The sequence below is a fragment of the Homo sapiens genome, chromosome 22 (genome assembly GCF_000001405.40).
Source record: "Homo sapiens chromosome 22, GRCh38.p14 Primary Assembly".
Classification (NCBI taxonomy): Eukaryota; Metazoa; Chordata; class Mammalia; order Primates; family Hominidae; genus Homo; species Homo sapiens.
Genome location: NC_000022.11, coordinates 19,428,194 through 19,439,008, shown reverse-complemented (window position 1 = coordinate 19,439,008; position 10,815 = coordinate 19,428,194). Strand labels below are relative to the sequence as shown.

At 50.2% G+C, this 10,815-nt stretch overlaps 2 protein-coding genes across 3 annotated transcripts in view, besides 6 other annotated features; one reads left to right on the top strand and one right to left on the bottom strand.

Moving 5' to 3' along the window:
* Positions 2,934–6,464, bottom strand: MRPL40 (mitochondrial ribosomal protein L40). Of its 2 annotated transcripts, none has more exons than NM_001318151.2 (4): positions 6,150–6,464; positions 5,661–5,744; positions 4,115–4,273; positions 2,934–3,371 (listed from the first exon to the last, which is right to left on the bottom strand). In NM_001318151.2, the coding sequence occupies exons 2-4, from the start codon at positions 5,663–5,665 to the stop codon at positions 3,047–3,049; spliced, it is 489 nt and encodes a 162-aa protein (NP_001305080.1). In that variant the 5' UTR covers positions 5,666–5,744; positions 6,150–6,464; the 3' UTR covers positions 2,934–3,046. The 2 variants fall into 2 exon arrangements, with proteins under 2 accessions (NP_001305080.1, NP_003767.2); NM_003776.4 differs by having other exon boundaries at positions 6,402–6,464.
* Positions 6,390–6,699: a silencer, noted in NCBI's record as "silent region_13460". NCBI's record gives its function as "represses an Ori minimal core promoter by ATAC-STARR-seq in GM12878 lymphoblastoid cells {active_cell/tissue: GM12878}" and the evidence as "EXISTENCE:reporter gene assay evidence [ECO:0000049][PMID:35858748]".
* Positions 6,990–7,389: a silencer, noted in NCBI's record as "silent region_13459". NCBI's record gives its function as "represses an Ori minimal core promoter by ATAC-STARR-seq in GM12878 lymphoblastoid cells {active_cell/tissue: GM12878}" and the evidence as "EXISTENCE:reporter gene assay evidence [ECO:0000049][PMID:35858748]".
* HIRA (histone cell cycle regulator) overlaps positions 7,276–10,815 on the top strand; it is a 101,036-nt gene continuing 97,496 nt past the window's right edge. Inside the window, exon 1 of the mRNA NM_003325.4 lies at positions 7,276–7,569. Within this exon, the coding sequence (NP_003316.3) occupies positions 7,533–7,569 (37 nt within the window). The 5' untranslated portion in view covers positions 7,276–7,532. The remainder of the gene's footprint in view (positions 7,570–10,815) is intronic.
* Positions 7,674–8,421: an enhancer, noted in NCBI's record as "H3K27ac hESC enhancer chr22:19418111-19418858 (GRCh37/hg19 assembly coordinates)". NCBI's record gives its function as "activates a minimal SCP1, AML or CMV promoter by ChIP-STARR-seq in primed H9 embryonic stem cells {active_cell/tissue: H9 hESC(primed)}" and the evidence as "EXISTENCE:reporter gene assay evidence [ECO:0000049][PMID:30033119]".
* Positions 7,674–8,439: a biological region, named in NCBI's record as "H3K27ac hESC enhancer GRCh37_chr22:19418111-19418858".
* Positions 8,370–8,439: an enhancer, noted in NCBI's record as "active region_18659". NCBI's record gives its function as "activates an Ori minimal core promoter by ATAC-STARR-seq in GM12878 lymphoblastoid cells {active_cell/tissue: GM12878}" and the evidence as "EXISTENCE:reporter gene assay evidence [ECO:0000049][PMID:35858748]".
* Positions 8,680–8,809: an enhancer, noted in NCBI's record as "active region_18658". NCBI's record gives its function as "activates an Ori minimal core promoter by ATAC-STARR-seq in GM12878 lymphoblastoid cells {active_cell/tissue: GM12878}" and the evidence as "EXISTENCE:reporter gene assay evidence [ECO:0000049][PMID:35858748]".

Below are 10,815 nucleotides of genomic sequence, written 5' to 3'. Positions count from 1 at the left end.
CACCCATTAGGATGGCTACTATTAAAAAAAAAAAAAAGTGTGATAAGGGTGTAGAAAAATTGGAACCTTGGCTGGGTGTGGTAGCTCACATATGTAATGCCAGCACTTTGGGAGGCCAAGGCGGGCAGATCACCTGAGGTGAGGAATTCAAGACCAGCCTGGCCAACATGGCGAAACTCCATCTTTACTAAAAATACAAAAAAAAATATTAGCTGGGCGTGGTAGCACACGCCTGTAGTCCCAGCTTGGCAGGCTGAGGCAGGAGAATTGCTTGAACCCGGGAGGTGGTGGTTGCAGTGAGCCAAGATCATGCCACTGCATTCCAGCCTAGGCGACAGAGTGAGACTCCGACTCCAAAAAAACAGCAAAGAAAAATTGGAATCCTTGGGCACTATTGGTGGGAATATATAATGTTACAGCAGCCATGGAAAGCCATATGGCACTTCCTCAAAAAATTAAAAATAGACTCACCATATGATCCAGCAGTTCCACTTCTGGGCGTATATCTAAAAGAAAGCACAGTCTTGAAGGGATATTTGTACTCCTGTGTTCATAGCAGCATTATTCACAATAGTAAAATGCGGAAGGTAACCCAAGTGTCCATCAACAGATGGATAAGGAAAATGTGGCGTACGTACAATGGAACATTAATTCAGCCATGAAAAGGAAATTTGATACGTGCTATATAACATGGATGAACCTTGAGGATTATGCTCAGTGAAATAAGCCACTTACAAAAAGACAAACACTATGATTCCGCTTCTGTGAGGTACTTAAGAATAGTTAAAATCACAGAAAAGGTAGAATGGTGGTTGCCAGGGCTTGGGGGAAGAGGGGAACAGGGAATTATGGTTTAATGGGTAGAGTTCAGTTTTGCAATGAAGACCTCTGGAGATGGATGGATGGTGGTGATGTTGTCTGATGGTATGAATGTCCTCAATACCACTGAGCCATACAGTTAGAAATGATGAAGATAGTAAAGTTTATGTGTATTTTACCACAATTTTTTTTTTTTTGATGGGGAGTTTCGCTTTTCTTGCCCAGGCTGGAGTGCAGTGGCGTGATCTCGACTCACTACCTCCACTTCCCGTATTCAAGCGATTCTCCTTCCTCAGCCTCCCGAGTAGCTGGGATTACAGGCATGTGCCACTACACCTAGCTAATTTTGTATTTTTAGTAGAGACGGGGTTTCACCATGTTGGTCAGGCTGGTCTCGAACTTCTGACCTCAGATGATCTGCCCACCTAGGCCTCCCAAAGTGCTGGGATTACAGGCGTGAGCCACGGTGCCTGGCCACCACAATTTTTAAAAAAGGGAAAAAAGTGAACCACACGCTAGGAAGACAACCTAAGTTCTTATTCCAATGAAATGTTTCCCTGGTTTACCTGCACTAAGGTGGTAAAAAAAAAAAAAAAAAAAAAATCCTTTCTGAGGTTGTGATCCAAGCCACTGGGGAAAATGGCTCTATTCGTACACTGGGCTTGTACTGTGACAGGCTGAATTGTGTCCCCTACAGTTCCTATGGTGAAGTCCTACCCATACGACCCTCCCACTCCCCCCAACCCCATACCTCAGAATGTGACTGTATTTGGAGGTATTTGGAGGTAGCATCGTTAAAGAGATAATTAAAGTTATAATGAGGTCATTAGGTGGGCCCTATTCCAGTATAACTGGTGTCTATAAAAAATTAGGAAACAGATTGGGACGACCATGTGAGGGAAAAGGCAGCCATCTGCAAGCTAAGGAGAAAGACTCAGAAAACAAGCCTGCTGGTACCTTGATCTCAGGAGTTCTAGCCCCCAGAATTGTGAGAAAATAAATTTATTTTGTTTAAGCCACCCAGTCTATGGTAATTTGTAATGGCAGCCTGAGCAGACTAATACATTCACATTCTAGACTAAGCACTTGAGACAGAGTCCGCTGCCCCAGCCAGGCCTCACACCCTCTTGGGGGCCACAGCATCTTTATTAACTAGTATGTTCCTGGCCTGCTCCACACTCTTCTGCCTCCCCCTAACCCCAGCTGAAAACACAAAGGTGGCTCCTTGGTCTTTCCCATCAGGAAGGCCCTGCTTCTCCACATGCCTTTCCAGCTGGCAACTTCCTTTCCCACCACTCCTCTGTTACTCTGACTCCTGTTGGTATTTTCACTATACCCTTGGGATCTTCTTTTTACACATTTTTTTTTCCCCATTTGAGGGCAGCAGTTGATGTCTTTGTTATCTTCTTCCCATTACCTGGCGAAGGGCAGCATCTGTCACCTCCATCCATCTTAGGTGAATAAACTTTTTATTTTTCTTTGAGATGTAGTCTCGCTCTTTCACCCAGGCCGGAGTGCAGTGGTGTGATCTCGGCTCACTGCAAGCTCCACCTCCCAGGTTCACACCATTCTCCTGCCTCAGCCTCTTGAGTAGCTGGGACTACAGGCGCCCGCCACCATGCCCAGCTAATTTTTTTTGTATTTTTAGTAGAGATGGGGTTTCACTGTTAGCTAGGATGGTCTCGATCTCCTGACCTCATTTCGTGATCCACCTGCCTTGGCCTCCCAAAGTGCTGGGATTACAGGCATGAGCCACTGAGCCTGGCCTGGTGAATTAATTTTAATTCTGGCTGGGCGTGGTGGCTGATGCCTATAATCCCAGTGCTTTGGGAGGCCAAGGTAGGCGGATCACTTGAGGTCAGGAGTTCGAGACCAGCCTGGCCAACATGGCAAAACTCTGTCTCCTAAAAATACAAAAATTAGCCACGCGTGGTGGTGCACACTTGTAATCCCAGATACTCAGGAGGCTGACACAGGAGAATCGCTTGAACCAGAGAGACAGAGTTTGCAGTGAGCCGAGATTGCGTCACTGCACTCCAGCCTGGGCAACAGAGTGAGACTCTGTCTCAAAAAAAAATTTTTTAAAAAAAATTCTAACACAAGACAAAGGAGCATTTTGATTAAACCAGTATTTATTAACAGCATGCCTGATTCTGTGGAAAGCAGACTTGAACCCTGGTCATTCCTACTCTCAGGGGCAGCATGTTAAGGATAGCAGCCTGCAAGTCTATCTCTTAAACTCCACTTGTGTGTACACCTTGGTGATGTCATTGTACCTGCCTTCAGGGGGTTGGTAGTTAGGGATCGGTGGTGTGTAATGTGGCCCTTCCTTCTCAAAGGGGAACAGGTTAGGATCCCGCTTGATGGCCTCAGCATGGAGCTTCGGGGATTCCAGTTGCAGTTCCTCCAGAGCTTCCTGCTGGGCTTCTAGCATAGCCCTGATGGTGTCCCTCTCCATCTTACGCTCTTGCTGCTTGTACAAGGACCACTTCTTCAGAAGCAGAGCTCTCCTCTCAGTCTCCTCAAAGGTGAGCTCCACCTGAGGCCGCTCTCTGCAAAGAAGCTAAGGGTTACCAATCTCACTGGCATGTAAGTCTGTGACTGCAACTGACACAAGTATTCCCATTGCCAGACACAGACAGGACTTAGGAGATAAAACAAGTTTGGGACAAATTAAGAAATGGAATGTTGAATGTGGCTGCAGCTGCAACTGATGCTTGGAACCAAGGTCATTTGCTCTCTGTCAAAAGAACAGATGATCTGAGGAGACTGGTAGCACTTCCTCTGCCCAAGCAAATACTCCCTTGGGTGAGAGAAGACTTTTAACACCTGCCCCTTTATAGATGGTGCACACTGCTTACAAAACGGCAGCAGGAGCTGTTAACCCTGCACACAGTAGAATCCCAACAAATACCAACCAAAGATATCTGCATGATAAAACAGGAGGCCAAGGGTTTTCTACTGTTAGGATGAGGCGAGGGCTTCAGACTCCAGGCCCAAGGGATCAGAAACAGCCAAGACTCCTCATGCATGACAGCAACAACATGAACTCCAGAGCAGTGCTTAAGCATCTGGATTATTAGATGTCTTAGGTTCTTTCCCACCCAGAGCCATTCAAGAGTACCACCCAAGGATGCTTTCTCCTGCTTCCAAAAGGAGCAAGGACTCATTAGGGCCAAGTCAGCTCAAGCCTACTGACCAATGACTATCACAGGTGTGAACTACAGACACAACTACCTGAAGTTGATATTACTCCTTTGTCCTGAGGACTTCATCCCTAGAGAAGGATCCTTACCTTGCTTTATCCAAGAACTTTAGAGGGGTAATAAAATCTTCAATAGGAATTAGCTCTTGAGTAGCCTTTTCCAGTTTTCGGATCTTCCTTTTCAAGCGCTCCTTTGCTTCTTGGTCTTTTTTAGGATCTACCTTCTTCTTTTTTCGAAGAGGTTCTGATCTAATAGATAAAGCAAATATTAAACATTTTCCTCTTTGGTCTCATGAACCTACTGAGAGACAAGATGGTAAGTACCCCATACTGACCTCTCCACTGGGGGAAGGAGCTGTGCATGACTAACTCATGAGCTCAGCGTGGTGAGGAGGTACTCCACCCCACAGTACTTGTGAGAACTGTGTAGGTGCCATCAATTACAAGAAATAGTACAAAAGCAGCCGGGTGCAGTGGCTCAGGCCTGTAATCCCAGCACTTTGGGAGGCAAAGGCGGGCAGATTGCCCAAGGTCAGGAGTTCGAGACCAGCCTGGTCAACATGGCGAAACCCTGTCTCTACTAAAAATACAAAAATTAGCTGGGTGTGGTGGTGCGCACCTGTAATCCCAGCTTCTCGGGAAGCTGAGGCAGGAGAATCACTTGAGCCTGGGAGGCGGAGGTTGCAGTAGGACAAGATCGCGCCACTGCACTCCAGCTTGGGTAACAGAGCGAGACTCTGTCTCAAAAAAAAAAAAAAAAAAAAAAAAGTACAAAAGCAACAAGAGGCATCAGGGTATAAAATCGGGAAGTGTTCCTCTTTATTGCTGGGATTCAGGTGTGCCTTGGGATTACACTCAAAAGTGAAAATACCAAACTGTTAGATTAGAAGCTTATTACTATTAAAATTGATTTGTGGACTGGGTGCGGTGGCTCAGGCCTGTAATCCCAGCACTTTGGGTGCTGAGGTGGGTGGATCACCTGAGATCAGGAGTTCGAGACCAGCCTGACCAACATCCAACATGGTGAAACCCCGTCTCTACTAAAAACACAAAAATTAGCCGGGCGTGGTAGTGGGCGCCTGTAATCCCAGCTACTTGGGAGGCTGAGGCAGGAGAATTAGTTTAACCCAGGAGGCGAAGGTTGCAGTGATCCGAGGTCACACCACTGCACTCCAGCCTGGGTGACACAGTGAGACTCCATCTCAAAAAAAAAAGAAAAATCAAATCCTTTACTATCAAGATTGACTGAATCAAGTATCTACAAAGAGTCGAGAGTGCCAGATGGAAATACCTTTAATACTTGCATCTTCCCCACACTCTCCAGGGCCTCCGAATGGGCAGGGAAGAGGAAGGGTCATGGAGAAACAGAAACTTAAGCTGTGTCCTTTAAAACACACAAGAATCCCTTCAAGGAGAATACTTACTTCTTGAGAAACTGCTCAAATTTTAAAAATTACAAACAACAATCTATGGTTTGGAAAATGTTGGAAAAACAGAAAAGCATCGGCCTAAATTTAACTGAGAAACTTTGTAGGCTGTTAATTTTGCAAACCACACATCCAGCATTCTTGCTTTGTTCTCTACACATAGACTGACACCTTTACCCCCAGAGGTCAGGCCCTCGATTGAGTTTTACCTCATGGGAATGAGTTCCCAGAAAGACAACAATGACGCTCGCTGGTGAGTCTCTCTAAGCTGCGTCTGCCAAGTTCCCAGAAGCCTGAAAGATACAAGAGTATGTATAAATATCTGCTTCTCCAGGCTAGGCGCGGTTGCTCACGTCTGTAATCCCAGCACTTTGGGAGGCCGAGGCGGGTGGATCGCGAGGTCAGGAGTTCAAGACCAGCCTGGCCAACATGGTGAAACCCCGTCTCTACTAAAAATACAAAAATTAGCCGGGCGTGGTGTTGGGCGCCTGTAATCCGAGCTACTCGGGAGGCCGGGGCAGAACTGCTTGAACCCGGGAGGCAGAGGTTGCAGTGAGCCGAAATCGCGCCACTGCACTCCAGCCTGGGCGACAGAGCGAGACTCTGTCTCAAATAAATAAATAAATATCTGATTCTCTCCCACTTCACAGGAAAATAAAAAATTGCAATGCTCCCAAACCCGGGGCACTTCTAACTACTTGATATGACAGCAAGGTCAACGTGGAAGGTTTTTCAAAATCTTTCGTTCAGACCACAGAGGACTTAAGCAGGACCGCTGCTCGCCAGGGTGCTCAGATTTTCATGCATAAGAGTCACGACCAGATGGCTCATCCCTGAGATATTCGTGGACTGGGAGGCGAGCAGGGAGCACAGGCGAGTCCTGGCGGACAGTCGCGAAGACCCCGCACGCGCCCTGGGCACTCCGCTATCCGGCCAGCGTCCGCACTCACCCGCTAGTCGGGCGCAGGGCTAGCGAGATACTTCGCAGCACGGAGGCCGTCATGGCTACCCTCGCCGCTTCCGGGCGTGCGCCCCTCCACAGTCCGGCCCGCGGTGCCCCCTGCTGAGGTCCGGCAGACCAGGCGCCCAGCGCTCAGGCGTTCCGGCTGCGTGGGCTGGGACGCGCCTGTCCCCGCCCCCGACGCAGCCCCGCCTAGGGTGTCAGCTGCGCACACACGAGGGCCTTGCGTTTCACGCGGCTCGGGGTCCTCCCTTCCGTCCCCGCCCTGTGCTGGGAGCGCGCCTCTGCAGCGGGCACAGTCTAGCCAGTCAGGCCCTAGCCGGTTGGTCGGTCTGCGCCCTCGCGCGGGCCTCGGCTCCGCAGTGCAGCCGGAGCGGCCGAGGGGGCGTCCCTCTGCTCCTCCGAGTCCAAATGTTCATGTCTAGGCAAACGGCCCCGATCTTCTAATAAACGCGTCCGCCCCAGCCTCCCCCACCAGGGTTGGCTCGTCCCCCGCATTCGTTCGAGTCCGAAGCCCGGATCGCATTCCGGCGCCGGCGCGGAGCCCGGCGCTCGCAAGATGCCCAATAGCGCGTGTTGATGAATGACGGAAGCTAGTTAATAAGTCGGACTCAGACTGGCGAGGCAGAGCTGGTGACGGGCGGTCCACGCCACCTGGGCCCCGCCTGCCTCTGCGGGCGGCCCGGGTTGCAACTGCAGGCCCCGCTCGCTGTCCGCCGTCCAGGCGAACCGCCCTTTCTGGGGCGCCCGCGCCCGGGCCCGACCCGAAGCCCCTGCCAGCGGAGGAGCCGGGGCGGCCCAGTCCGCGTGGGGAGCGGTTTCCCGCCGGGGCGATTTGGCAGGTGCGCGCCGTGACTTCCGGCGTTGCCCGGGAGCCGCCTGAGGAGGAGCGGCGCAGGGGATGCGGCTGTGGTGGCGGCGGCGGCGGCCGAGCGCGGGTGGCGGCTGTGGCGGCGGAGGGGGGCGCGGGCCGGCGATGGCGCGGCGGCCCTGAGGGCGCGGGGCGGGCGGCGGCCGGAGGGCGGGTGGCGCGGGAGGAAGCGGCGGCGGTGGCTCCATGGCCCGGGCGCGCTGAGGGACCCGGCGCTCGCCTCAGCCCGGCGGCGGCGGCGGCCGAACAATGAAGCTCCTGAAGCCGACCTGGGTCAACCACAATGGTGAGTGCGCGCAGGGGTCGCGGGAGGCCGAGCCCGGAGTCGGGTCGGGGTCTGGAGTCGAGTCGGGGCGCGCGCAAGTCCTGCCTGTCTCGCCCCTGACGCCCGGTACCCGGTGCCCAAGCCAAGAAGCCGGCGGGAGCGGACTTTGTCCTCAGCGCGGAGAGGCTGGTGAGCCCCAGCACGTGCTCCGGGTTGACCGCAGCGAGGGCCATCTTCGCCCCTGGCTCTTGCTCTGAGTCTTCCGCTGCCCACCTGTGGTCCTTGGAGGGGCCGCGGCCTGGCTCCCAGGAGCGGGCCTTGGTGCCAGCCAGTGCCTTCCACTGGTCTGCATCGCCCGAGAAGTGCTCAGACGGTCCTGAAGGTGAAACCGGGATGAAATCCCCCTTGTGGCCTTTCAGTGGCAGGATGAAGATCCGAAATCTGCAAGAGGGACTGTTACTGCCCCTCTGGATCTGGGGACAGTGCCCCCAGTTGGGGAATTGTGGTCCCTAAATAGGAGGGTTTGGGGGCCCCGGGCCCCCGCGAAGGATCCACGATTAATGCTGAGCTGGGACATCAGGGTGAACTAGGGTTGGGCAGATAGGGCACAGGTGTGTTCTAGCAGAGGGGCTTCTTAGCTCTGTGGCAGTGGCTCCAAAGCACACCCTTGGGGAACGGACTCATCCACCCCATATCTTGACTCTGATACAGAGAGGCTAGTGGTAATCAGTTTCGTCATAGTTCTGCCTTGTTGGCAGAACTGCTGCAGGAGTTGGTGTTTGCTCCCCGGGTAGATGAAAAAAGCGCGCCTCCCCCTCCCCCACCCCACTCTGCTGACAGCACTGTAGCACAGAAATCAACCCAGGGAGACTCCTCCAGCCCAGGGCCTGATTCTGGCCTGTCTGACTGTTGACAGGCAAAGGGTCACCCTGATGCTGTCTTGTTCCTCATTTCTACTTTGCAGTGCGACTACAGGGTGCTACCGTTTTCTTTAGGAGCGAGAATAGATATTTTAACATGTGGCTTTTTCGTTTTGAATTTGGTCCCAGGATGCTCTCTACTACCACAACTAAACTGAACTGATCATGTGTGTGTTCTCCTCCTGCCACCTCTCTCTCCTTCCATCTTGTGTGACATCTTTCCCATTTTTCAGGGACTAGGTTCACGTGTTTCTTTTGAAACTGTTCATCCTGAGTTACCCCGGTAGATGTGCTGTATCACTGTCTGTGTGTTTTGCCTGGCATGGAAGGTGTGAGGGTACTTTCCATATGCCCCCAGGGTAGGGACTGCCTCAGTCCCTTCTGTATGCCCTACTGCATTGAACAACCTCTTCCACATGATGGGTATGTGATAAATATTGGCTAAAACAGGTAAGAAAGCTGAGGTTTTCATAATTTATCAAGATGAAGTTAGGTTTACTGTGCATGAAAGCCGAAGCCTTGAGTTTTAGTTTCATTTCTCCTGTTGATCTCCAAGAGCATTTCCTGATGTGTACTGTGCAGATCTTTCCCTGGAGAACTGGACAAATATTGTAATTATGAATTATGATGCTTGTGATTAGGAAAGGAAAAATGTTATTATGAACTAGTTTACTGTGTGAAGGTCTGATAGAATTTTTATTTTAAAATGCTTTACCTAAATCAGTTTTTGTGAATAGCCTACCCTTCTCCAGCCTCTCTTCTACTGTCATATAACTTGTTCCTTTTTGATAAGCTCCTTTGTAGGCCAAAAGTTTTATGCTATGTAAACATAAGTAAGTCAAGATGCTTAAGTGACGAACTAGGTACAAATGAATAAGAGACTACACTCAGATCAGCAGCCAAGTGCATCAGCCTGGCAGAGCAAGCACAACAGTGGCCCTTATTGCTGAGGGCCTCTCTACAGCCCTAGAATGGAGCATGATAATATCTACTCTAACCACTTCATAGTATGCTTGTGATACTCAGTTGGGAGCGTAGATATAAAAATGCTCCCCAAACTGTTAAGTGCTTTAGAAATCTGAGATAATAAGTAATAATAAAAAGAGGCTGGGCACGGTGGCACATGCCTGTAATCCCAGCACTTTGGGAGGCTGAGGCAGGTGGATCACGAGGTCAAGAGATCGAGACCATCCTGGCCAACATGGTGAAACCCCGTCTCTACTAAAAATACAAAAATTAGCTGGGCGTGGTGGTACGCACCTGTAGTCCCAACTACTCGGGAGGCTGAGACAGGAGAATCGCTTGAGCCCGGGAGGTAGAGGTTGCAGTGAGCCGAGATCGCGCCACTGCACTCCAGCCTGATGACAGTGAGACTCCATCTCAAAAAAAAAAAAAAAAAAAAAAAAAGATATGGCAACTCTGGCAGGATGGGATTTAACTTCTTTTAAACTTGTTCTTTGTTAAATTTCCTTTCTTTTAAAATCTCATGGAATGTTCAGAAGGACTGTCAAGAGGTAAATTACCACTGCCCTGGAGGAGATGATGCTGGTCTGAATCACTACCGAGCAGGCCTTTAAATACTGTAGGAGTATTGGTGGCTGCTGGGAGCAGGGGCTGCTCAGCCGGAAGCCTGAGGGGTGGGTAGTGGCCAGTAAAATTGTGCTTGCTTTTGTAAAGCCATCATTGCACTTTCTGGCTTCCTTGTTCTATATTCATGTCTCCAATTTTGTGAAGCACAAACATAACTTTTTTTTTTAATAGAAATGGGATCTTGCAGTGTTGCCCAGGCTAGACTCAAATACCTGGGCTCAAGGGATCTTCCTGCCTCAGCATCCTGAGTAGCTGGGACTACAGGCGTGAGCCACTGCACCCAGCATGAACATACTTTTTCTGTTTTTCGAGAGTCTAAAGGGGGAAGTAGCAGACAGCTCAGCATTTTTCTCTGGTGTGGCAGGGAATCCATTCAAAGTGGAGAGGGTAGCTAGAACAGGAGAAGAAGTATTTATTGAAATGTGGGTGTACTTTGGTCTTCATTTTCTTGGCTGATAATAGAGACACCTCTAAGGTAGGGTTTCCCAACTTCAGCAGGTTGACATTTTGGGCCATAAAATTGTGTGATTGTCATCTATGTTATAGAATGTTTCTAGTATCCTTGGCCTCTACCCACCAGATGCCAGTAGCACTTCACAAACACCTTCTTAGAGTAAGTTGATACAACTTCTAGTTGTATCAACCAAAAATATCTCCAGTCATTGCCAATGTCCATTGGTAGCCAAAATCACCCCCAATTGAGAAGCACTTGTCTAAGGTTATCAATAAGTTAATCTTGAAGTTGTCACGTTGTAGT

Bases quoted from the DNA above. Each gene is read 5' to 3' on its own strand.
- MRPL40 (NM_003776.4), bottom strand. From the start codon at position 6,454: ATGACGGCCTCCGTGCTGCGAAGTATCTCGCTAGCCCTGCGCCCGACT. The intron at 4,274-5,660 runs GTAAAACTCAAT...TTTATCTATTAG, and splicing joins TGGGAACTCATTCCCATGAG to ATCAGAACCTCTTCGAAAAA. The intron at 3,372-4,114 runs GTAAGGATCCTT...GCTTCTTTGCAG, and splicing joins AAGTTCTTGGATAAAGCAAG to AGAGCGGCCTCAGGTGGAGC.